Below are 27,443 nucleotides of genomic sequence, written 5' to 3'. Positions count from 1 at the left end.
TAAAGGTGATAAAATAGTAATACACATATAAATTTCTTAAATCTATTCAAATTAAGTATACGATGACTTTAGGGAAATACAATGAACATTTATTATATGCTTAGATATATCATGCACTCTAACGAAACCTGGGGTATGAAGATAAATAAAACACATTCCCTACTCTTGGCAAAAACTATAACATAGTAGAGGATACAGACACGGAGATATTTTGAATATGATAATATGAGAGAGTACTGTAACAGTGATAATGAAGCACTTCAGGACACAGAAAATGTCCTGAAGATATTCCCTGAGCTGTATTCTATAGGAAGCAAACAAGATTATAGAAAGACCACAAACAATAGCATAGACTTTAATAACAAGAGCTATATACTGAGACCAATGTGAATCAGTGCTTTGCCATGAATTCTGTGATCTTATAGATACTGGGCCTCTCCTTTGTTTATTAAATTATTATAGCACCTCATTGCCCTATGGTTGCTGAGTGGATAATAGGAAATTTTATACATATACACACCCTTAGCACAAAGTGAGTACTGGAGTAGAAACAGTAAGTAAAACTTTACTGGTGACAGTTGATGGTACAGATGGGCAGGGGAGATAAGCCTGGTAATGATCAAAACAATTAATGTATATAAAAAGTACTTAGAGGCTACCATGGGATGTTCTGCTTCTGGGGATAATGGAGTAACTAGCAGGTAAACTAAATTCTGCTGAGAAATAGAAAAACTTGAATAAAAATAAGTATGTTTAAAGGTATCTAGAGCTGCTCAAGCAATCAGGACAAAAGGTCACAAGATTCTAGAGAAGGGAGAACAACCTAAAGGTGGGCTGACATTTCAAGTCATTACAGAAGTAAAAAACGAAAACAAGGCCCAGAGCTGTGGCTCATGCCTGTAATCCCAGCACTTTGGGAGGCCGAGGCGGGCAGATCACGAGGTCAGGAGATCGAGACCATCCTGGCTAACACGGTGAAACCCCGTCTCTACTAAAAATACAAAAAAAAAAAAAAAAAAAAAATTAGCCGGGCGTGGTGGTAGGCGCCTGTAGTCCCAGCTACTCGGGAGGCTGATGCAGGAGAATGGTGTGAACCCGGGAGGCAGAGCTTGCAGTGAGCCAAGATCGTGCCACTGCACTCTAGCCTGAGCGACAGAGCGAGATTCTATCTCAAAAAAAAAAAAAAAAAAAAAAAAGCGAACAAAAATAAATAAATAAATTGGGCTGACAGACTACAGCCACTTTTCTCCCCAAGAATATTTGCAGATTCTAAGCATAATGCAAGAGCGAGAATCCACACTTTACCCAGACAGAGCCACTGCCATGGGGTGAAACTATCAGCAAAGATTCTGTTGGCCTTACGGCGCTGGAGATAAAACAGGATATCCAAGGGGCTAAGATCCTGGTGAGGTGCTCTTTAAGACTTCTGCCAAATGCTGACTTTGCATGCAGCAGGAAGCCAAGAGGCAAAGTTTTCAGACGTCTTATACTGCAAACAAGACAAGGATTAGAGTTGAGATTTGCCAGAGACAGTGTCCCAAGAATTTAAGACTCTAAATTGAAATGCCTGTAAAGTAAAACTAGACTGTATGAAGACAAATCAAATGTACAAATAGCCTTAAAACAGTCTTGATTCACTTTAGTCCCTGATTGGATAAAAGTTATCAGCTCCCACACTAACATGTCTAAGAAAAGAAAAAATAAATCCTGTCTAAAAGATTATCATCTGGAGCCTTTACAATTTTTACAATGACAGTTATTCAATAAAAAATTATCAGGCTGCCAAAAAACAGACGCTTATGAATAAAAGCTAGGAGGAAAAAAAAACCCAACAGGCAACAGAGTTTTACCAATAATTTAATTTTAAAAGAATCAAATGGAAATTCTAGAACTGGAAAACAACTGAAATTACTACTTAATATAAGTTGAATAGACTAAACAGCAAAAGGTAAGACTAGAAAACTTTTTAAAAGATCAATGAAGGTATTTTCACTAAACCAGAGAAAAAAATATAGGTATTACAAAGAGCCTAAGGCAAACGTGAGACACAGTGCAAGAGTCTAACACCTACTTAGTGGAGTCACAGAAGAAAAAGAGAGAAGCAATATTTGAAGAGGTAAGTAAGAATTTTCCAAAACTGGCCAACGAAAAATTGTAATATCTTGGGGCTTAAATATAAGTAGAATTAAAATGCATGCCAACAGTAATGTAAAAACCATGAGGGATAAATGGAGTAAAAAGTGTTCTTCATGGGGAAAAAGGTATTCTAAGGTTTTAGCATTCTTGGGGAAGTGGGGTAAAAATAATGATTGGCAGTAGCTCAAGTAACTCCATGAAGTATACTGTAATCTCTACAGTAACCACTACAAGAAAAGACAGCATAACTAAAAATAAAATAGATTTTTAAAAGGAGAGAAAAAGGGAAAGATTGTAAATAAGTATATAATTATATTATTTATAATTACATTTATACATAAGCCCAAATACTCCGTTAGACTAGATCAAAATCAGAATTTATTAATGTAATTTAGCCCATTAACAGAAAAAGGAGGGAAAAGATCACTTTGATAGTTGCAGAAAAAGCATTTGATAAAATTCAGTACCCATTCAAGATGAAAACGCTACAAACCAGGAATAAATCCTTAATTTTAAAAGTGTCTTAAAACACACACACACACACACACACACACACACTCACTCTACAGTAAGGTTTCCCTGAGAAACGGGAATGAGGCAAGAAGACCACTACTACCACTTCCATTCAACATGTACTAGAGGTCCTATCCAGTACCTTAAGGCAAAAATAAATAAATGAAAAGCATAAGAATTGGAAAGGCATAAAGAAAACGGTCACTATTCACAGTTAACATGCTTAAGTCAGACACACTAACAGGAATAACAAGGAAGTTTGTCAAGGATGCTGTATACTAAGTCAGCATATAAAAATCCATTATATTTTTATGTTAGCAACAATTGGAAAGCAAAAATTTTAAAAGATACCAAAGTATAATTTAAAAGTCTACTTCCTAGAAATAAATCTAATGAAGGATGCCATCTTTACACTGAAAACTACACAATGATATTAAGAGAAAGTACAGGTAAGCTAAATTAATGAAGGGATATACAGTATTCATAAATTAGAAAATTCATTATTCTAAAGACATCAATTTCAATATATGCAGACTGACTTCAACCATTGTGGAAAACAGTGTGGCGATTCCTCAAAGACCTAAAAACATAACTACCATTCGACCCAGCAATCCCATTACTGGGTATAGCCAAAAGAATATAAATTATTCTATCATAAAGACACATGCACACATGTGTCCACACACAGTGAACATATGTTCACTGCAGCACTATTCACAATAAAGACATAGAATCAACCTAAATGCCATCAATGGTAGACTGGATTAAAAAAATGTCATACACCACAGAATACTACACAGCCACATAAAAGAACAAGATCATATCCTTTGCAGGAACATGGATAGAGCTGGAGGCCATTATCTTTAGCAAACTAACACAGGAACAGAAAACCAAATACCACAGGTTCTCACTTGTAAGTGGCAGCTAAAAGATGGAAACACATGGACACATAGCAGGAAACAACATACACAGGGGCCTATTAGAGGGTAAAGCGTGGGAGGAGGGAGAGGATTAGGAAAAAGAACTAATGGGTACTAGGCTAACTAATACCTGGGTAACGAAATAATCTGTACAACAAACCCTCATGACAGGAGTTTACCTATATAACAAACCTGCACAGGTACCCCTGAACTTAAAATAAAAGTTTAAAAAAATTATGTATTTTCAGACTAACATATAAACTCAATGTAATAACAATAAAAATCCCAATGCTGCTTTTTGTGGAAACTGACAAGTTGATTCTAAAACTTACATGGAAATGCAAATGGGTCAAGAATACCAAAGCAATCATGAACAACAAAGTTGAAAGACTTAGAAGTAGAAAACATAAACCTAAAATATAGCAACTGTAATTATGACAGAGTGGTACTAGTGGAAAAACAGAGAAGTTGACTAATGAAAAAGGAGAATGCAGAAGCGCGCGCGCACGCAAACACACACACACACACACACACACACACACACACACAGGCACATGCATACACACACACACATACCTACACAAACAGTTCATTTATGACCAAGGTAACAATGAAGTACAATATGGAAACGGGGTGGTCAAAAACATATTCAAAAGGGCCATAAAGAATACATCATATTCATTATGGCTTTATAGAAGTACACAGAGAAAAATGATACGAGATGGGTATTACTTATTGGCTTCCTATGAGCCCAATTATGCAAAGAGCTCTACTATTCCAGCAGGTGCTTCCTAAGAGGGACAACCATTTCTAGTAGCTAACTTCTCTCTGCAAGTATACTTTCTACTCATTCCAGCAAGCCACTAACAAACTTCTTCACCAAGAGCTTTCAACTCATAATTTTTCTCCCCAAATATTACAAAGAGAACTATTTTGAAATTTGTTTTATAATAATCTGCTTCACAGCCAACTTTGCAGAAACTTATCTGTACTATAAGGAAGGGGCTATCTAAAATGTATAAATAACATTTTCCTGAAGAGAGGCAATTTAAAAACGATGAGAACAGATTTTTTCTAAAGGTTTTCAATATGCCAGGCTTAAGTATTTATCTAATTGATTCTCAAATTAACTCTAAGAAGAAGATAATAACTGCCTCTATCAATATTATAGATAAGTAAACTAGGTCGCAAAAATGCAAAGTAACCTACCCAAAGTCTTAGCACTAAAATTTGGCAGTGCTTGACTGGATTTGAGTCCAAGCTTACACTAAATTCTTTAAGACATGTCCTTTCCAGCATGTAAGTAACAGATAATGCTTAGTTTTAATAACCCAGAACAAAAGGGAGTCATACTGTCTTATCAATTCATATGTGACAAAGTATACAGTTTTTCTAGTAATTTTCTGATTTCTAGATACCTGAGTCACATACTGCACCCAAGACGGAACTTTGAGAAAAATGCATATGGTTCAAGGCAGTGAAATGAACACATTTATCAATCTCTTTTATTTCCCAACACGATACTCAATGAGATGACAACAAATTTTTACAAAAAAATAAACCAATAACAACGTTAGAAAATAAGAAAGGGTGTGACACTGGTACATCAGACATTTTTAAAAATTCAAGTCAGAGGAACGGCAATAAATTAGCAGAGATATAAAGGTAGATAAATCACAATCCAGGGTACTGTAAGTATCCATGTTTCTTTCAAGGAGGCCCAAAGAAAAACTAACCTTTCATCACATACACAAAGAGCAGGAAAAGGCCAAGTGGCAAGCCTCAGAGTAATTATTTTAGAAACAGTATTTAGGCTAGATGAGACAGCTGGGGCTCTACCCTTCCCCAAGGGTGGCAGTTGTAGCTTTTACCATCACGCCAAAGCCCAACAATTGCCCTCTAAAGGAAGAGGGACACCTGTCTGGGTATGTCTCTTGTGAGAGCGCCAATTCCTGAGAGACAAACAGGATACAGGTTGGACTAACTCTCAATATCATAGCAGACATTAGGAATGAGATGCGAAGAAAAATAAGGAGAAAAGATAACTTCTAACAGAAATCAAATAGAGCACTCTCCCACACAAAATAAAGCCCTCCTTACTTTGACATGTGTAACAGTTCCCAGCTTACGCATGCAACTTCAGGGAAGTCATCACGTTGAGACACCTTGCCCACTTGTACCGAAAGTGTCCATAACCTTCCCATTCAAGGAAGAGGATGCTGGGGAAACAGATCTACACAACTGCCCTGAAAACCATGACAGCCAGATACCATCTTTTAGCAACACAGTCCCTCATCCTAATATATGAACGGAAAGCCAAGGATAACAGACATTTGGGGAAAACTAATAGATAAAAGAGAAGGTCCAAAATGGGAAGAAAAAAATTAACAAAGAACTCTCATAGAAATGGAGACAATTCAGGGGACTGAATGGTATACTTTTAAAAAATTTCTCTTAAAGTACAATTGAATAAGACAAGAACAAGCTGCTTTGAAAAAGTGGTCAGAAACTAAGACTTCTTGATTAAAAATAAATGACAAAATAAGTTTAATGTGCAAGATAAATAATAATATAGTCATAACTGATGCATTAATAGAAAATAAAAGATAAAGACAACTTCTGAGGAGACAGATTAAAAACACAAATATAGGAAATATGAGAAATGAGGGAACTGTGGGTCAGATTGACGAGGTCCAGTATTGATCTGACAGGTGATCTTAAAGAAGGTAAGACTAGGAACAACGGAGATATATAAAGAGAAAAACACAAGATTATTTCCATAATCTGAAGGGAGACACAAGTTCATAGACAGGCCTCATCAACTGCCAAGAATGATTACTGAAAAAAGATCTATACCTAGACACATCTGGATAAAACTACAAAATTCCATTAAAAAAAGAAAATCCTAAAACTTCTATGTTATCTACAAAGGAACAAGTCAGACTAAAATCTGAATACTGTATTAAGGCAAGGGGTAAATGCTGTTAAGAAAAAAAAAGCTGAACTTAGAATTCCATACTCAGGTTGGGTGCCATGGCTGCTGCCTGTAATCCCTGCACTTTGGGAAGTCGAGGCAGGTGGATCACTTGAGGTCAGGTGTTTGAGATCAGCCTGGCCAACATGGCAAAACCCTGTCTCTACTAAAAACACAAAAATTAGCCGGGTGTGGTGGCAGGTGCTGTAGTCCCAGCTACTTGGGAGGCTGAGATAGAAGAATTGTTTGAACCCAGGAGGTGGAGGTTGCAGTGAGCCAAGATTGTGCCACTGCACTCCAGCCTGGGTGACAGAGTGAGACGCTGTCTCAAAAAAAAAAAAAAAAATTCCATACTCTATTTAAGAATGAGGACCAAATAAAGGACATTTTCAGACAACACATACTTGAAAAGTTTGACATCCTATATTTAAAATGTATTCTGAACCCAATTAAACTCTAAATTTTTTTGTATGGCACACCCTTACGAGTAAAAAAAATCAGAATATACTCTCAGTATAGTTTTATAAAATATATACATCACTATATTAATATATGTATTGTAAAACATACTAAAAAATTAAAAATTACAGATAAAAATTAACACACAATTTAATTTCTAATAAATCCTGATACTCCCCTAAATTATTTTGTGTGCCTTTTACACGAATGTCTCATTTTAAAGACCACAGCTCTAACCAAATGAAGAAAACATGGAAGTGAAGACAACAGAGCTGAATAACCTTAGAGGAAAAGTAGGAAACAACAACAATCAGATGAGAATCCACTAGAATTTTCCACTTGGAAAATTTTCAATTGATGAAATTTTCATGTACACAGGATTACATTTCATACTCTGTGGGTCCATTCCACTTTGTTCTAAAGTAAATATTCATATAATCATCTATTTCTAGATTTAAAAAATCATTAGAATTGATTTAAAAAGTAAAAAAAGTTATAGTCAGAACAAAATGCAAATACCTTGATGATGCAAAATTAACAACTAATTAAAACTGGGAGATTGAAGGAGTAAGGAAAGGAACAAGACTATGATTCAGAAACATGGGTAATACTATCTAGAGCTAATAAAGGACATATAGAACATTATAGAAATCACTAACACAAGTAAAAGCAAGCACAATAAAACTGGGAGTGAAGGTGAGAATGGATGATACCCTATTGTCTCTACTCTCTCATGTAATGCAAAAATTGATACAATTACAACTTTTTTTTTTTTTTTTGAGACAGGTTCTCATTCTAACTCAGACTGGAGTGCAGTGGCACAGTCAAGGCTCACTGCAGCCTCAACCTCCCAGGCTCAAGAGATCCTCCTGCCTCAGCCTCCTGAGTAGCCGGGAATACAGCCATGTGCCACCATACTTTGCTAATTGTTTTTTGTGTATTTTTTTTTTTTTTTTTTCTACTTTTTATACTGATGCAGGTCTTGCTGTTACCCAGGCTGGTTTCAAAGTCCTGGCCCTGAGCAATCATCCTGGCTCACAAAGTGCTGGGATTACAGGTGTGAACCACTATGCCCAGCCACAACTTCTATTTTTAAAAAAGCACTATTAAGTAGGAAAAAAAAGCAGTATATAACACAGTATGTCAATTATCTGGAAAACTGAAATCAGTTACTGACTGCCAGTCAGCTCATGTGAAACACTTGTACCACCCTGATACAGTTTGGCTCTGTGTTCCCACCCAAATCTCATCTTGTAGCTCCCATAGTTCCCATGTGTTGTGGGAGGAACCCGATGGGAGACGAGTCATGGGGGCGGGTCTTTCCCATGCTGTTCTCATGATAGTGAATGAGTCTCATGAGATCTGATGGTTTTAAAAACGGGACTTTCCCTGCACAAGCTCTCTTCTCTTGTCTGCCACCATGTGAGACATGCCTTTTGCCTTCTGCCATGATTGTGAGGCTTCCCCAGCCACGTGGAACTGTAAGTCCAATTAAACCTTTCTTTTGCAAATTGCCTGGTCTCAGGTATGTCTTTATCAGCAGCATGAAAACGGATTAATATAGTAAACTGGTACCAGTAGAGTGGGGCACTGCTGAAAAGATACCCAAAAATGTGGAAGTGGCTTTGGAACTGGGTAACAGGCAGAGACTGGAACGGTCTGGAGGGCTCAGAAGGAGGCAGGAAAATGTGGGAATTTGGAACTGGGTAACAGGCAGAGACTGGAACAGTCTGGAGGGCTCAGAAGGAGACAGGAAGATAGGGAGTTTGGAATTCCCTAGAGACATGTTGAATGGCTTTGACCAAAATGCTAATAATGATATGGACAATGAAATCCAGGCTGAGGTGGTCTCAGATGGAGATGAGGAATGTGTTAGGAACTACAGCAAAGGTGGGTCTTGTTACGTTTTAGCAAAGATACTGGTGGCATTCTGCCCCTCCCTAGAGATTTGTGGAACTTGGAAGTTGAGAGAGATGACTTAGGGTATCTGGTGGAAAAAATTTCTAAGCAGCAAACCATTGAAGAGGTGACCTGGGTGCTGTTAAAGGCATTCAGTTTTATAAGGGAAAGAGTATAAATGTTTGGAAAATTTGCAGCCTGACAATGTGATAGGAAAGAAAATCCCATTTTCTGAGGAGAAGTTCAAGTCAGCTGCAGAAATTTGCATAAGTAATGAGGAGTCAAATGTTAATTCCAAGACAATGTGGAAAATGTCTCCAGGGCATGTCAGAGACCTTTGCAGCAGCCCCTCCCATCTCAGGCCTGGAGGTTCAGAAGGAAAAAATGGTTTCATGGGCTGGGCCCAGGGTCCCTCTGCCCTATGCAGTCTAGGGACTTGGTGCTCTGGGTCCCAGCCGCTCCAGCTGTGACTAAACGGGGTCAAGGTACAGCTCAGGCTGTGGCCTCAGAGGGTGGAAGCCTCAAGTCTTGGCAGCTTCCATGTGGTGTTGAGCCTGCAGGTGCACAGAAGTCAAGAATTGAAGTTTGGGAACCTCTGCTTAGATTTCAGAAGATGTATAGAAACACCTGAATGCCCAGGCAAAAGTTTGCTGCAGGGGTGGGGCTCTCATGGAGAACCTCTGCTAGGGCAGTGAGGAAGGAAAATGTGGGGTCAGAGCCCTCCCCCAACAGAATCCTACTGGGTCACCTCTCAGTGGAGCTGTGAGAAGAGGGCCACCATCCTCCAGACCCCAGAATGGTAGATCCACTGACAGTTTGTACCGTGCGCCTGGAAAACCCGCAGACACTCAACAACAGCCTGTGAAAGCAGTCAGGAGGGAGGCTGTACCCTGCAAAACCACAGGGGCAGAACTGCTTGAGACCAAAGGATGTTGCATCAGCATGGCCTGGATTCAAGACATGGAGTCAAAGGAGATCATTTTGAAGCTTTAAGATTTGACTGCCCTGCTGGATTTTGAATTTGCATGGGGGCCTGGAGCCCCTTTGTTTTGGCCAATTTCTCCCATTTGGAACAGCTATATTTACCCAATGCCTGTACCCCCACTGTATCTAGGAGGTAACTAACTTGCTTTTGATTTTACAGGCTCACAGGTGGAAGGGACTTGTCTCAGATAAGACTTTGGACTGTGGACTTTTGAGTTGAGACTTTGGGGGTTAACTACTCAAAACCAGTTGGAAAGGCATGATTGGTTTTGAAATGTGAAGATACGAGATTTGAGAGGGGCCAGGGGCAGAATGATATGGTTTGGCTCTGTGTCCTCACACAAATCTCATCTTATAGCTCCCATAATTCCCATGTGTTGTGGCAGGGACCTGGTGGGAGATGACTAAATCATGGGGGTGGGTGTTTTTCGTGATGTTCTTGTGACAGTAAGTCTCATGAGATCTCATGGTTTTAAAAACGGGAATTTCCCTGCACAAGCTCTCTTCTCTTGTCTGCTGTCATGTGAGATGTGCCTTCTGCCACGATTGTGAGGCTTCCCCAGCCACGTGGAACTGTAAGTCCAACTAAACCTTTCTTTTGTAAACTGCCCGGTCTCAGGTATGTCTTTATAGGCAGTGTGAAAACGGACTAATATACACCCTCATTAGTCTACTTCATTTATTGTCTTTTACTATAGAGTTTATGTGCATGGCTGTGGTATTACCTAAGTATAATATCATCTCTAGTTTATTAATTTCTGTAAGGCAAAGCCTAGCACAACACTCAGTGTTGGTTTAAAAATAAAATGAAAAAGGAAGGGGGCTAGTTACGTGTTTTGAGAGAATTAATGGAATAGCTAATTTTGACCTACACGTGAAAACAGAAAGTCCATCTTGTAGTTTTAATTACTCAAAACCAGTTTACTTAAAGTTGACTAAAATGTGTACTAAATGGATAGGCTCGTCTCTGAAATAGAAACAGCTGTGTCTTTCAGAAGACTGATTAGACTAAGTGGCAGAGCTGGACACCACTGCTATAGAAAAGAATGTGCAGGGGCAAGAAGAGGGGGTGGTTAAAGATGCAGTAATGGCAACAGCTGAACCTTCAAGAAAAAAAAATTGGCTAAGGACAGGAAAAAATATTCCTTCTTCTTAGTTATATATATTTCTATTTAAAGGGGAAGCCAACAGAGCTGGGGGAAAGGAAGGGAGGGATGTGTACACTGAAGTAACTGGCGTTGGTAATATATTTACACAGGACCCCAGTTTTAAAAAAAAGGGTGGGGGTGAACAAATACCTTCATTTACCTTATAGTTTACTTACCTGGGTCCTTGAGGCATAAGTGAAATAGCTATTCTGTAGTGTGAGCTCTCTGCCCCAAGCAAAAGGCAACCTCCCTTCAAAGTCTGACAGGTTTTTTCAGTCAATTGTATCAGGTTGAATTACATGACACTGACATTTTTGTATGTCAAAGGCAGAATATTGGCAATTTCATGTGGTCCTAAAGCAACAATCCCCCCTCAAGTGATTACAATGGTAGACCTTAAGGCTTTCTGTTTTTCTAGGGCAGTAAGTCTCAAAGTTAAGTGTGCAGTAGAATTACCTTGGAGGGCCTGTTAAAACAAAATGCTGGGCTTCAATCCGGGTGTTAAGGGTTCAGCGGGTCCGGGTCAGCTTCCCAAATTTGCATTTCTAACAAAGTCTCAGGTCGTCCTGGGATCTCACACTAAGAACCTCTGTTCTAGTCTGAAGGCTGAACTAGGAAGCTGTCAATACCGCTAACACACACAAAAAACTCATCATCATTCCCCCAGGTGTTCATTTGTCCTCCATCTCTGAATAAGTCTTCCATTTTACTTGGGTACTATGCTAAGGAACTGGCTTACTTTCAACTTCTTTTTTGGGGGGTCTTATTCCAATGTTAGGGAATCTCTTTTGAAATCCACAACATTCTCCAACACTGAAAGCAAGGAGGTAGTTTTAATTACATTTTATAGATACATGAAAAGTTTACAAGGGTAAAGACTTCCAGATATTTTTGGAACAACTCTTTTTCTACTTGATAATTCCTAAAAGCTATTAACACATGCTGTTATAAAAGAGAAGATTTAGAGCCTCTGTTTACTGCTGCCTTGTCACTTACTGCCAGGGTTCTCCCACACACACAAAAAAAACAACTAAAAATTAAACTAAGAGTGAACCCCTGTGTACACAATATAACGCCACAAAATCATTTCATTTCTGTTGCTTTAATGTATTTTCAAAGAAAAGATTAAAAGCAAGAAATCATCTAACAACATTTCTAGATATAGGCATAATGTCATTTTCCATGGCAACAGTAAAAATGGAAAAAAAAAAAAAAAAAGCTCTGGGGTCCACGTGCTGAGATACTTGGATTCTACTTCTACCCATTTCACATTTCAGGCTATGTATTCTTTGGCACATCACTGAGCTTCTGGCTATAGACAGAACTGGAGGCAAGAATTGCTAAACTCTGTCCAGTTCCACCATAAGTTAATACAGATTCATAAACTAGTTTAAGATTTACTCAACATCACCAAATAATTTCCTCACACTGCAATTACCTTCTTTTAAAATACCAACTACAGGTCACTGCAGAACCTGATTACTTTTCCTATAGCATAACATATTAAAGATATTCTGGATCTCTGGAAACCATTTTTTACAATCATCATTTGCAAACAACTACATTTATATGGCATGCTAGTTGTGACAAGTCCAATTTTTTCTATTATGTATTAATAATATTGTATAAACAAGGCATATAAGAAAAGACGAAGCCCAGTGTACCTATGTTAATAGTCTTATACAGTATTAGGATTTTTAAAAATCAACTTTATTCAGTTAGCATCACAGTTTATAACTACAGTTATAAGAGGTAAGATTTCAAATTATAGTAATATATAAACAGGGTAGTAAACTACAATGGGCCAGACTAGCAGTTAGGTGACTACTCACAACGGAAAGTTGCACAGCCTCTTCTTTTTTTAAAAAATCATTCATTCATTTGTTCACTCTCTTTCTCTCTTATTCATTGACCCATTTGAGTATTTTGGGGGAACCTACACTAATGTAGGCCATGTAGAAACAAGGAAGAACAACACAAAGACAGCCTCTAACCTCATAATTTGAACTAGCTCTCAGAGGTCCTCCAGATAAAATCTTCTACAACTTCCAATGTGCTTAAGTGAATAAACAAAATAGCAAAACCTGACCATGCCTTTTTTGGTAAAAATTACAAATAGCTGAAACCAAATGTTGTGACCCAAATGTATGTCTGTGTACATGTATGTACGCAGGTATGTATATATTTTTAAGCAACACAAACACGATAAAAGGAACAGGATCATCCAGATACTCTTAATGCCAAAGCAGTACCTTCAAGTTCACTACAGTCTCTAAAAACAAATTTACTTGAGCACTGGCCTACAAAGTTTTGCAAATTTCAGCAATGGCTTAAAGCTCTTAAAAGACAGAAGGAATCAGAAATTACCTATGCATAATTAGTCTTTTATAAAACATTATGGAATAGAAAAGTATACATTTTTGATATAACAAAATTTTTAGTCAATTTAATTCAAGCTCTAGTTTATAAACTATAGTAACATTCTTTTACTCAGCTCATAGAGGAGGTTATTTCAACTAGTGACAGATAATTTAACCTTATCTCTTTAAGCACCAACACTGCATTTTAATCTTAAATGTCACCTCTTCCGTAAAACTTTCACTAACCACCCTTTGTCCCTATACCATTTTCCTGGGTAAAAATTACTCCCTAGCTACCTGGAACTTTCACAAAAAATGCCACCCATACAGAATTAATCAAATGTATTGTAGTTAATAGTATAATAATCTGTAAGAGTTTGCTTTACACATTAAAACTTTACTTTTTTAAAAATTTATTTTTATTTTATTTTTCTGATAGAGTCTCACTCCGTCACTCAGGCTGGAGTGCAGTGGCATGATCATGGCTCACTTCAGCCTTGACCTCCCAGACAAGCAATCTTCTTGCCTCAGCCTCCCATGTAGCTGGCACTACAGGTGCATGCCATACCTGCATAATTTTATGTCTGTTTTGGGACGGGGTCACACTATGTTGCCCAGGCCAGTCCTGAACTCCTGGGCTCAAGTGATCCTCCCACCTAAACTTTATTCTTCACATACAATATTTCATTTGATCCTCTAGACAAACCTGTTAAGTATTTACTTCTATTCTACATATAGGGAAACTGAAACACAGAAAAGCAATGCTACTTAAGGTCACAGAGTTGTTTTTTTTTTTTTAAAGCCCAACAAATCAGAAATTGAATCCAGAATTTTTAAGTGAAAACACTATGATTTTTTCCAATTCATCAAATATGCTAAGCTCCTTGAGATTACTATATTTCCATCTTTATGCAACCACTGCCTAGTATAGAATGTGACAGAAAGTAAGCAAAGATATGCTGACTGGATAAGAAGTCAACCACTAGTAAAGAATTAATGTTTACAAAACAGTACATAATTTAATGCCTTCTAAAATAAAGCACCAAAAATAATTTAGTATTACAGAATGATCCAGAGAACACCATCACAGTTAAAAGTTTAGTTTCTGATATCAGACTTGGGTTCAATCCCAAAGCAGTGTAAGGTCTCTGGGTCTCAGTTTTCTTGTCTATAATATGGGAATAATAAATGGTAATTATCTCAAATGACTGGTATATTGAATGGGAATGTACAGAAGACACCTAGTACAGTGTCCGGTAAATAGAAAGCACTCAATAAATTATTCATATGAGTATCAATATAAAACTCAAAGATAGAGCTTGTTTACAAAATAGAAATAATCTTGGGAACTATGAAAGACAGCAGAGTTAAATTTGTCCAAATATAGTTTTAAAGGTTTTATTCTTGCTGTTTAAACTTTAATTGCTTGGCTCTCCATCAGGTATACACCAGCTATTAACTCTGCTCTTCTCACACTGCTTATCTCTAGTAGCTCCAATCTGCCTTTTAATACAAGCAATGTGGATGTGCAGTTGGAAAAAGACAGATTGATGTCTAACATGTCCGTTAGGAATTGTATAACCTTTGAGGGAACTTTCTGGAGTAATGGAAATGATCTATATCTTGATTTGGCTGTTGTTTCAATGGTGAATACCTCCTTCGAAACTCACTGAAATGTATCTGTAAAGTCTGTGTATAAAACTTTGTAAATTAAAGAAACTTAGGTTTTATACTCTTGAACAAGTTACTTTCCTTTTCTGGCCCTTAATTTTCTCATTTTCAGAAAGAGAATAATTCTTCACTCATAAAAGTCATATTACAGGAGTATTACAGGAGATAAGGTCTATACTTAGGGTAGTTCCTGCACAGTTATTGCAAATTCTGGATCTACTAATATTAACCCTAAGCATTTTTCAAATTTACCTTAGTTTTAAAACAAATTCATCTATAATAAAAACTATGTTCTCTCCTTCTCCCTTCTCTCATTCTTCCCCAACCTTTTCTGTTTCAGAACAATTTGGCTAAACATTTTATTAAAGCTTCCGCCACTTCCAAAGTTTTCTTTCTTTTTTTTTTAACAAAATCATAATAGAGTCATTTGCCTTCATTATTTCTCTTCCTTCTTCATTTACCAAGTCAGAATTTCTTTTTCCTTTTCTTTTTTTTTTTTTTTTTTTGAGACAGTTTCGCTCTTGTTGCCCAGGCTGGAGTGCAATGGCACAATCTTGGCTCACTGCCACCTCCGCCTCCTAGGTTCAAGTGATTGTCCTGCCTCAGCCCTGCAAGTTGCTGGGATTACAGGTGTGCGCCACCACACCCAGCTAATTTTTGTATTTTTAGTATTTTGTATTTTTGCACCATGTTGGCCAGGCTGGTCTCAAATTCCTGACCTCAGGTGATCCGCCCGCCTCGGCCTCCCAAACTGCTGGGATTACAGGCATGAGCCACCGTGCCCTGGCCTAGGTCAGATTTTTTTTTTTTTTTTGAGACGGAGTCTCGCTCTGTCACCCAGGCTGGAGTGCAGTGGCGCGATCTTGGCTCACTGCAAGCTCACCTCCTGGGTTCACGCCATTCTCCTGCCTCAGCCTCTCAGGTACCTGGGACTACAGGCACCCGCCACCACGCCTGGCTAATCTTTTGTATTTGTAGTACAGACGGGGTTTCACCATGTTAGCCAGGATGGTCTCGATCTCCTGACCTTGCGATCCTCCTGCCTCAGTCTCCCAAACTGCTGGGATTACAGGCGTGAGTCACCGCACCCGGCAAGAAATATTTTACTTAAAATTACTGAAGATTTCTTTACCCATCTTGCCCCAAAATTAATCTGCTACGATTCAATCCTCAAAAGCCTAATGCTCCAATGAAAGGAAACAACAAAGTAAGCAGCAGTCAGAGATCAGAGGTGTAATAATTGTCGGAAGTTCTAAAAGATATGCATCGATTCCACAATACTCCTGCCAACCTCTAAAAATCAAGAATATTCTCTCTAACATCCCAACCACCCTCTATAATCCATCAAGAACCTGTCATCCACCTATTTATGTAAAAAATTATGTAATTTATTTCCCGTATTATGCCTGTAAACACAAACATGTCTCATAGTTATGGTACTTAATTCCATACTTTGAAAATATAATTGTGTTAAAGTAACAGTTCTTTTACTAGTTTTCAAATCAGTTTTTTAAATGTCTAAGCAATGCTCTTTGTTCTAGAATTCCAGGACACTGGCACAACTTCACATTTGTCTAGCATTTACGGAACAAACATTTATAAAGTACCTAAATAGGTCAGGCACTGGTGAAACAAAGATTATGAAGATAAGGTCAAGGAGGTAAATACTCAATTAAAGCAGATAAACCAGAACTGCTCAAATAATATTCTTTTCTTACACCTGTGAAGGATCTAGAAAAAAGGAATATGGAGCAATTAAGAGTTCTTTCAACTCCCTGATGTTGTTTCCAGACCACTTTTCCAGCCTTCTTCCAAAACTGTTTGGCAACTGTGTGAGTCAAATGCTATACCCTCTTCCCCTCTTTTCCCTGGCTATCATGGGCTCACCTCTTCTACTGGTAGTTAGGTTCCCTTATTAAGGACTTCATCAGTACTTGTCTCCCTCCACAGTTTTCTTCACTATTTCTATCATCACCTTGGATGAGTGCACCCTGTGGACTTTCAACCTACCAGCATCAAATTCCTTGACATTCCTGAATGATCTCACCCACATAACATTATAGCAATCTTTTCCAAACAAACTTATTAGCTAGAATAGCTTGACCAACTCTGAAAATAAACCTCAGTGTATCTTTTACAACAGACCTTATTCCTGTTCTGTCATCAATTTAATCCCTCAATATCTCTTATTACCAATACTTCCTTAGCCTCTTCCCATTTTTTAAGTCATTATTCCCATTATGCCTTCACTTCCTTCCTCGTCAAACCTCAAACCCACAATACATCACAACTTCAAAGACGCTCTAGCAAGCATGGTTAACATTTCACTCCTTTGTTCTTTTACCGCAACCATCCTGTAAACCCTCCACTCCATATCAATCTAACCACCCACTATCTGCTTCTTTGAGCTGATGAACAATGCTGTAAAAAAATCTTAAAAAGCAGAATAGCAGCTTCATAAGTTATGCTTTCACTAAACATGTACTTCTGTTTTTTTTGTTTTTTAGCTAATTGCCATCAAACAGGTTTATTCCAAAATAAAAATCTTACAAATAATGAATGACATCTTAGCTCTTCTGATGATGAGCTAATAATTCCAATAGTCCTGTGACTAGCAATAATCAGTAAATACTTTTGAATATGTAGAGCACAAGTATTTACCAAATGGCTGCTCTACCTTAAAACAGTACTTTGCAGCAGTAAGAAATGAAGCCAGTTATAAAAATAATAGCTGTAAAAAGTTAGGCATATAAAATGTAGAAAGGGAAAACTATGAGCTTATCTGGAGTTAAGAGTCGATGTGCATATCTTAAAAGAAGAAATCAACAAATATTATCCCCAAAAGGTACAGGAATGACACTTCTCTACATATGATTCTAACATAATCTACAATGATTAAGGAATGAGAAAAGAATTACAATCTTAACACTGAAAAGGATTCAAGGGAAAAATATTTTTTGCACTCTTGGATTTTCACTACAAAATGACAAAAAATACAGCTTAGCAACACTTCTGTGAAATTTAAAAGAAAAACTCCACAAATAACAAGAAATTAGACATAAAAACACACAGCATGCTGTGAGGAAATGGTAAAATTTATTCTGCCAACTTTTTTCAAGTTCTGAAAATTGAGAAAGATCTGCTCATATAGTGTTCCCCTTCTTTCAACTGTAGCAAAACCCCACAGAATAATGAATGAACACAACCTGCAATCTGGGTAGATGGTCAAGTAAGAACAAGCGCATTCCAGCATTGTGTAATTAGAGCTTTGGGCCAATGTTGCAAACTCACTCAGTCAAATAAAAAAGCCTACAAAACTTTTCACCAGCTTGCAAAATCTTAAAACTCATCCATGTTTATCAAGTTAGAAGTGCACTATTTGTCAGAAAGTCAATAAACTACACTGCGGAGCTATAATTTTCATGACCGTCTCATTTTCCTTAAATTATACTTAAATTTGTTGTATATTCTGCATCTTACCAACTGGCAAGGTGACCAGAATCATCTGATAGGTTTTATGAAAATATACAGGTGTCTGTTCCACGTTCCCCTGGTGTTCACAAAGGAGGGGACCAAGGGTAGGAGTAGGGAAAGGAATCATGTTTATTTTGAGAAAATAGCCTACCCACAACTTAATACCATGTTACACCCACCAGAATGGCTAAATATATGAGACAGAATATCAAGCCAATGTTCCAGAGTATGTGGGACAACTAGAAATTCTCATCTACTACTGATGAGGTTATACATTGGTACAACAACTTTGGAAATCACTGGGTTATACTAAAACTGAACAAGGCACACATATGACCCAGTGATTATATTACAAGGTACATTACCCAGGGAAATGCACACATGGGACCAAAAGACATGCACAGACAGGAATACAAGGATATTTTACAGGGACTCTATTCATGACGGCCCCAAACTGGAAACAACCTAGATGTCCATTAACAGTAAAACAGATAAATCATGATATACAGAGTCATACAGTGGAATATTATGAAGCAGTGAGAATAAACTATTGCTACAGGCAACATGCTTGAATCTGTGAAAGGAAAAAACCCTTGGGACCCCAGAATCACTAAGCTAAAGGGAAAAGTCAAGCTGGAAACTGCTCAGGGCAAACCTGCTTCCCATTGTATTCAAAGTCACCCCTCTGCTCACTGAGCTAAATGCATTATCTGATTGCCTCCTTCTGAGAGGCAAATCAGAAACTCAAACGGAAGCCCTCTCTCCCAGCTTCGAGTTGTCCTGCCTTTCTGGGCCAAACCAATATTAATTTTACATATGTTGATTGATGTCTCATGTCTCCCTAAAATGTATAAAACCAAACCATGCTCTGACCGCCTTGGGTACATGTTTTTAGGACCTCCTGAGGCTGTTACCCCAGCGCAGGTCCTCAACCTTGGCAAAATAAACTTCCTAAATTAACTGAGACCTGTTTCAGATATTCGGGGTTTATGGATCACATAACCATATATGTATGTTTAAGGTAAGAAGCCAGGATAAAACACCATACATGCTGTATGATGATATGTGCATGTCTTTGCATGTTACACTTCAAAAGTTTACTTAAAATAAAAAAGCAAAAAAAGTTTAACAAATAAATGAGCCCCCTTGATGCCCTGAAGTGTATAATAAAATCCTGCTCCCAGTACCATATTCCCTCTACCCTAAAATTGGGACAGGATACTTTTTTGAATCTTCCCTCATGCTAATTAATTTTTTTACATTAAAAATTTGTTTATATCAAAACAAAGAAAGGTATGTTAACAGAATGCAAAAGCCAATTTTTTTTTTTTTTTTTTTTGAGGTAAGGTCTAGCTCTATTTCCTAGGCTGGAGCGCAGTGACAAGACCATAGCTCACTGCCTCCTCAAACTCCTGAGCTCAAGTGATCTTCCTGCCTCAGCTTCCTGAGTAGCTGGGACTACAGGCGTGCACCACAACACCAACATGTGGCTAATTTTTTAATTTTATTTTTATTTTTATCATTTTTTTAAGATGGAATCTCACTCTGTCGCCTACACTGGAGTGCAGTGGTGCAATCTTGGCTCACTGCAACCTCCGCCTCCCAGGTTCAAGCGCTCCTGCCTCAGCCTCCCGAGTAGCTGGGATTACAGGTGTGTGCCACCACACCCGGCTGACTTTTGTATTTTTAGTAGAGACGGGGTTTCACCATGTTGCCAGGCTAGTCTCAAATTCCTTACGTCAGGTGATCCACCGGCCTCGGCCTCCCAAAGTGCTGGGATTACCGGCGTGGGCCACTATGCCCGGCCTAATTTTTAAATTTTTTATAGAGACAATGTCTTGCTATGTTGTCCAGGCTAGTCTAGAACTCCTGGCCTCAGGCAATCCTCCTGCCTTGGCCTCCCAAAGAGTTGGGATTACAGGCGTGAGCCATCATGGCCTCAAAACATTTGTAAGAGAAAACACTAAATTGAAAAGAATTTTAACATCAAAGCTCTCCCCCTTCACCACCATCATTACCACACTCAGACTGTCACCTCCCTTTGATTCCCCAAGAATTTCCTCTTCTCTGCCATCTATTTAATAGAAACATTCAAGAAGCACTGACCTACCTTAGCAGTGTAGTTACGAGGATTAAAACAAAAGATGTATATATAAAGTCCTTGGCACCATGCCTAAGTACTCAATGACTAGACACTTAATAAATCCCAAATAGTGAGTTCTTCCAGGTCAAGGGCTATTTCCAATTCATCACTGTAAATACAGGACCTGGTATTTAACAGTCAGTCAATAACTACTTGTGAAGTAAATGAATAATGTGAGTCCAAAATAAACAAACAAACAAACAAAAAACAATGAAAACAAAGCAAAAGTGGGAATGAAGGAAAAAGCAAGAAGTTCAAAGGAAGGTCTTAACCCATTTTTGTTATCAGGGTATACGAAAATATTATATTTTATTTTTATAGAACTGTGGTTCAGCAAGATGACAAGATTTTAAATCTCAAGGTGAACCAACAAAATCATGTGCATATAAAACTATTACAAAAACTGTCTCGGTATTATCTTTCCTCTATACACTGTGCAATGAAAAAGCAGTATATTTTAACTGAAATTAAAACACGCGTCAATAATACTGAAACCCTTTAAAAAAATTTCTGAATCAGTTTCTTATGAGGTTGACAGGAATCCCAACTACATCACAGGTTATTTTCAAGATATCCATCATAGCACATCAATATTCTGACTAAATATGTCATAACAGAGATGAAAGGAAAGCAGATTTCAGCTAAAACTTTATACAGTATTATTTTTATGAAAATAAAAATGTAATTTAGATGTCAAAATTGTCAAGACTGCAATCTTACATTAATTTTAAAAGACAAATCAATATTTTAATGATTTAATAATTTTAATATTCATTATGTGCACAAAATATCAATGAACCATTTGATAAGGCTCTTTTCCTCTCCCTTTTAAGCAAGCATCTACTTAGATCAGAAACAATACTGTTTTAATTAACCAATTTAATTAACCAATATATATGCAAAGCATTTAACCTCATGGAAAGCACATTATAAATGTATATACAACTCATTCAGTTCTCATAACAACTATATGGTTTTACCATTATCATTTCCATTTCCATTTTACAGAAGAGAAAACTAAGACTTTAAGTAACTTCCCTAAAGTCATACAGCTATTAAATGGCAGGGTGGCTGTATGCTCCTAGTCTCTATGCTCTGATGCCTGGAGAGCTCTGGAGTAAAGCAGACCTACGTTTGTCCAGACTTGACTTCATTTTGGGAGGTGAGTTGTCTTGAGAATCCTGAGTGACAACCACAAAACAAGGTAGCACTAATTCCACCTTTCACTAATTCTAAGACAGCTATTTTTGTCACATTTTAACATTTCTGAAATTGATAGCATCTTACAATTATAATCCGCAGTTCTCTCTCTCTGCGGTACATAAAATAATAATCCATCTGGTAATTGACAGCAACTGTGATTCAAAAAATTATGGTATTATCTATACCTCATGGGTTAGTGATTAGAAGTAAATGAGATAAAATGTCTTAAGTACTCAACACAGTGTCTGTCTGACACAAGTGCTTTACAAAGGGTACTTCTTCTCTTTTAATAAAATAATCTATAAGGAAATTTGATGTAAAGGTTATCTTTACACTGTAGAAAGCTGTCAGTTTCTCAGGCCCATGTGCGAATACACCTGGTATACCCTCTTAAGAAAAAATACTGGTTTCATTACACAACTTAAAGATGCAATTTTTGTTGATAAAACACTTGGGGGTAGGGAGAGGCAGAGAGACAACAGTAAAAATAAATCAGACACTTGAGAAAATAAAATCATCAACAATATTAATGCATAAACCAAGATACTCCACAATTCAAGCCAGTTCTCAAACGCCATTGATAAAATGCTTACAGGAAAAAGTATTTTCATGTTTTAAAAGATGTACTTCATTTATTATTTTTATTTTTAAATTCTACATGCAGGATAAAGGTTGCACTTTAAATGCAATGAGAAATGATCAAATCTGCTTAGTGTGTGCCCATGCCCCACTTGAGCTTTTCTACCAAAACTTAATTCCTAAACAGTTAGTAAAGGTTTAAACTGATCCTAAGTGTTGTCACCAAAAAAATTTAATTAAATGAAATTAAATTCACTTAGACATTTGGTAGCTTCCTGTATTTGTACTTGCTTTAGCAATCTCAGAACAAATTTATACTCACTGTTAATTTTATTTCATTTTTTTGTCTTATAAAAAACTACAGAGGAATTTCCTAAAACATTAAAAAATATATCCAAATGACAGCTGAAAAAACACCTTGAGACTATTGCAATCTTTACCTTAAAGATCACTTAATTATACTTTAATGTGAAGGAAGTTATCAGGAATAAAGAGGGGTATTATAAAGTGATACAGAGGTAAATTCTCCATAATTCTTAATTTATATGTACTTAACAACAGAGCATCAAAATATGTAAGGCAAAATCTGATTTGCAAAGAGAAATAGATGAATCCACTATTGTAGTTGGACACTTCAACACCCCTCTAACAGAAATGGGCCGATCCAGCAGGTAGAAAATCAGTAAGGACAAGTTTGAACTCAACAACACTATCAATCAACTAGACATAATGGACATCTATAGACTACTTCAACCAACAGCAGCATAATACCAAATACTGACAAGGATATGGAACAACAAAAACTCTCACTCATCGCTGATGCGAATGTAAAATGGTATGGCCACTTTGAAAGACAGTTGGGTGGTTTCCTACAAAACTAAACGTACTCTTACCATGCTACCCATCAATCATGGTCCTTGGTATTTACCAAGAGCTGAAAACTTATGTCTACACAAAAACCTGCATAAGGTTGTTCATAGCAGCTTTACTCATAATCTGCAAAACTTGTAAATAACAAAGATGTCCTTTAGTAGGTCAATGGATAAACTGTGGTACATCCAGATAACAAAATATTATTCAGCATTAAAAAGAAATGAGCTATTGAGCCATGAAAAGACATAGAGGAAACTTAAAATGCATAATACTAAGTGAAAGAAACTAATCTGAAAAGGCTACACACTTTGGAAATGGCAAAACAGTAAAAAGATCAATGGTTGTCAGGGGTTGCAGGAAGGAAGAATGAATAGACCTAGGTCAGAGGATTTTTAGGGCTGTGAAAGACATCATAATGGTAGATAGATGTCATAAAAATTGTCCAAACCCATAGAATATACTATACAATACCAACCATGAATCTAAGGTAAACCATGCACTCTGGATGATAATGATGGGTCAATGCAGATTCATCAGTTTAAAAAATGGGTCACTCTGGTGGGGAATGGTGATAATGGAGGAGGCTATGTCTGTATGGGTGCGAGGGATGTATGGAAAATCTTTGTAGATTCTGCTCAACTTCTTCAGTGAACCTAAAACAGCTTCAAAAACATAAAATCTATTTTTTTAAAAAATCACCTAACTGGGGGGTTCGAGGAGGGGAGATACAAATCTATTTTACACAAGAAAAAAATTGTTAAATTTGCTTCAGAAAACATACCCAAACAGGAAACAATGGTATTTTCTTTGTCAATAAATATAACATTATATTTTGTTATTTTTGTTTTTTGAATTTAATCTCAGCTCATACCTATAAAATAATATTTCAAAAGCATACTACTTTTTAGATATACTATCAATCTTCAGTTCTGCAGAAAATAAAAACACCTCTTTGTTTTTAATTGTTAACCCTAAATATTTTTACTTATTTATCTACTATAGGATGAAAGCAAATACACCAACTCCAAAGAAGTGTGTGTGTTGGGGGAAGGGGAGTATTTTCTAAATATATTCGTATTGCAGAGATGAGTATCTTCATCATACCTTCACTTTAGGTATATATACATATACGTATCTCCTATCTAACCTGTCCCAACCATGGTTTGAGGTGCAAAAATTTCATACTTGAGAATAAAAAAATCATTTTAATCTGCTAGCTTTTACCTATGTAAAGTTTAGTCTCATGTATTACACAATTCAGAATATAATGCTAATAATTATCCTGACCTCTTTTAGAACATATAAGCAGGTATAAAGAATACCAAACAGGAGCTATAGTTATGTTCAACATAAAGATAAAACGCCTCTAAAAGGGTACCTGTAAGAGCCATAATAAATACATGAAAAGCACACAGTTGTTATATAAGACATAACAAAACTTAAAACCAAGGAGAAGGCAAGAGCAAAAGATTTTAAAGCCAGTATGAACTAGTAAAAATAAATTTTTAAAGTTATAATTTTCTTAATTCCCTTGAGGCCAGGAGTTTGAGACAAGCCTGGGAAAGACAGTGAGACCCGTCTCTGCCAAAAAATAAAATAAACTGGATGTCTTCTAGAACTTTTCATTTACTGTGTTTTTAAAATTCACTTTGGCCAGACCCAGTGGCTCAGCCTATAATCCCAGCACTTTGGGAGGCTGAGGTGGGAGGATTACTTGAGGTCAGGAGTTCAAGACCAGCCTGGCCAACATGGTGAAACCCCATCTCTACTAAAAATACAAAAGTTAGCTGGGCATGGTGGCTGTGCCTGTAGTCCCAGCTACTCAGGAGGCTGAGGCAGGAGAATTGTTTGAACCAGGAGACAGAGGTTGCAATGAGCTGAGATCACGTCACTGCACTCCAGCCTGGGCAAAAGGGCAAGACTCTGTCTCAAAAAAATAGAAAATAAATAAAGAAAGAATAAAATTAATTTTAACATAATTTTCCTTTCTATCCCATTATTTTCTATGAGACCCTGCCCTTGCCAATTAAGGTTTTGCCAACTACAGTATTCTTCAAAAAGTTTATCCATGTCTATAGATAAATTGTATTCTACCCATGGTCCAAGAGAAAAGTCCAGGGATTTGTAGACTTTTTGATGTAATACAACCACCTAAAATAACATTTAAGCTATCAGGGGATGGCTGTCATTCTACTGAGCCCAGAAACACCATCATTGACCATATACCCAAGGTTTAGTACTACATCTTCACCAATCCTTAGCAAGGCTTTCCTTTTAAACTCCCTAAAATTGAGAGAAAAAGTTACATGTATAAAATTTCTTCCATAATAAGTCACTGGAATATAACTAAAATATTTATGCTATCAGTTATTGAATGAACCTGTAAGTATAGATTTAATACATATAATGTAAAGCTAACTAGCAAAAATAAAACACTACCTTGGGCAATAAATACTAAAACAAAGAAATATTTAATTCTTAAAGATATTAAAAAGATACCTCCACATTTAGTGACTATATGGGTGGTAAGGATATTAATAAAAAAAATCCAAAAAAGATACAAGTTCAAGTGAGAAACCTTTAAATGGCATGGCCAACCTCTCCAACCTACTACCCGTGTACTCTAGCCCCAATTTCTGCCTTTGCAGGCTTTCAAATTACTTGGAGTATCATTTCTTTAAACTCCTCTGCCACCTATGTTTAACTCGTCTTCTCCACCTGTGTAACTTGACTTTCAGAAACACTCTGCTCAAGGGTCATTTTCCTTGAAAGCCTCCCCTGATGCCCCTGCTCTGTGCTTCCAAGGCAACCTGAATAAACTGCCACGACAGCACTAATCACACAAGAAAAACAAATATTTGTTTAATCGTTCATGGTCCCTAGTCTCTGAATTCTAATCCCATACCTAGAAGTCTAGCATTCAGTGTCTGATAAATAGTGAGTATTTAAAAAATACATACTATGAATGAATAAGCTGTGAAAAGTTTTAGATACTTATAGAACAGCCAGATGATACTAAAAACACGTCTGAACTCAGGAAGACAGATATGGTTCATATTATAGATTTAATATTTTATTTTAATTTAGGATTGTAACTTCGGCAGATTAATACAAAATTCATCATCAAACAGTTTATGGGTGTATTGACAACCAGAAATATAAAATTTTCTTCATGTTGCTAAATTCAGCGTATGCTCTTTAGTTTGCCACTTAATTTCCCAGTTGCATTCAAAATATTCAACTGGCCACTCCCTTCTTTTTCAGTCTATTGCCTTGGCTTCAGTGATACCAACAAAATTTTCTTCCAACCTCTAGCTTCTTCCTTCTCAGCCTCTTTTGTTCCATTTCTTTCTACCAAAGTTCAAATGTGAAAGATTCATAGGGCTTACTCATAAGACCCCTTATCTTCTCCATACTATCTCCTTAAGCAATCTCATCCCTCACTCCCAGACATCAATTATAAACTGTACACTATTCCCAAATTTATTTCCAGTCCAAACCTCTTTGCTGAGCTCCAGACCTATACATCCAATTGCTACTAGGCATCTCTACTTATATGTCTCAGTCTCAAGTTTAGTAAGTCTCCAATTGAAAAATGACCAATACCTCCCCCTTCCCTGAAACTACAAAATAAAAAACTGCTCCTCCCCCAGTACTCTCACCTTAGGCACAAGAACTACTGGCCCTGGAAGTCAGCCTTTTCCTCTCCCCAGGACCCCCAAATCTCATCCATCTCTAAATCCTATCAATTTTTCCTCCCAAAATTTATTTGTCAAATCAGGCTAGTTTATCTCTATCACTGCCATCCTGAACCAAGGTTCCACCAACTCTTGACTACATTATTGTAACAGCTAATCTCAACGCTATTCAAATTGTGACCTGTGCACTGACACTGGTCCAAAAACTTTTGCTACTGGTCTGAAATGAAATAAATATAGAAACCTAGAGAAAGCATTTAGGAACGTTTACAGCAATTTGACACTGCCAAAACAAACATCTTATTGTGTGTTACTAAATACCAGAATGAATAGAAAATTAAAACAAAATTGGTCCTTCAACACAGACAAGTTTGAGAAGCAATGACTTAATTAGTCTCCCTGTATTTAC

General features: G+C 37.1%; 1 protein-coding gene across 1 annotated transcript in view, besides 2 other annotated features; it reads right to left on the bottom strand.

Annotated features, from left to right (window-relative positions):
• The window catches only part of SPOPL (speckle type BTB/POZ protein like), a 71,778-nt gene that overhangs the window by 39,931 nt on the left and 4,404 nt on the right, over positions 1-27,443 (bottom strand). The gene's annotated exons all lie outside the window — the stretch shown is intronic.
• Positions 9,348-9,437: an enhancer, noted in NCBI's record as "active region_16595". NCBI's record gives its function as "activates an Ori minimal core promoter by ATAC-STARR-seq in GM12878 lymphoblastoid cells {active_cell/tissue: GM12878}" and the evidence as "EXISTENCE:reporter gene assay evidence [ECO:0000049][PMID:35858748]".
• Positions 9,448-9,497: an enhancer, noted in NCBI's record as "active region_16594". NCBI's record gives its function as "activates an Ori minimal core promoter by ATAC-STARR-seq in GM12878 lymphoblastoid cells {active_cell/tissue: GM12878}" and the evidence as "EXISTENCE:reporter gene assay evidence [ECO:0000049][PMID:35858748]".

This window comes from Homo sapiens, chromosome 2, assembly GCF_000001405.40.
Source record: "Homo sapiens chromosome 2, GRCh38.p14 Primary Assembly".
Taxonomy (NCBI): domain Eukaryota; kingdom Metazoa; phylum Chordata; class Mammalia; order Primates; family Hominidae; genus Homo; species Homo sapiens.
The sequence above is the reverse complement of the archived record's forward strand: the minus strand, read 5'-3'. Positions and strand labels throughout refer to the sequence as shown.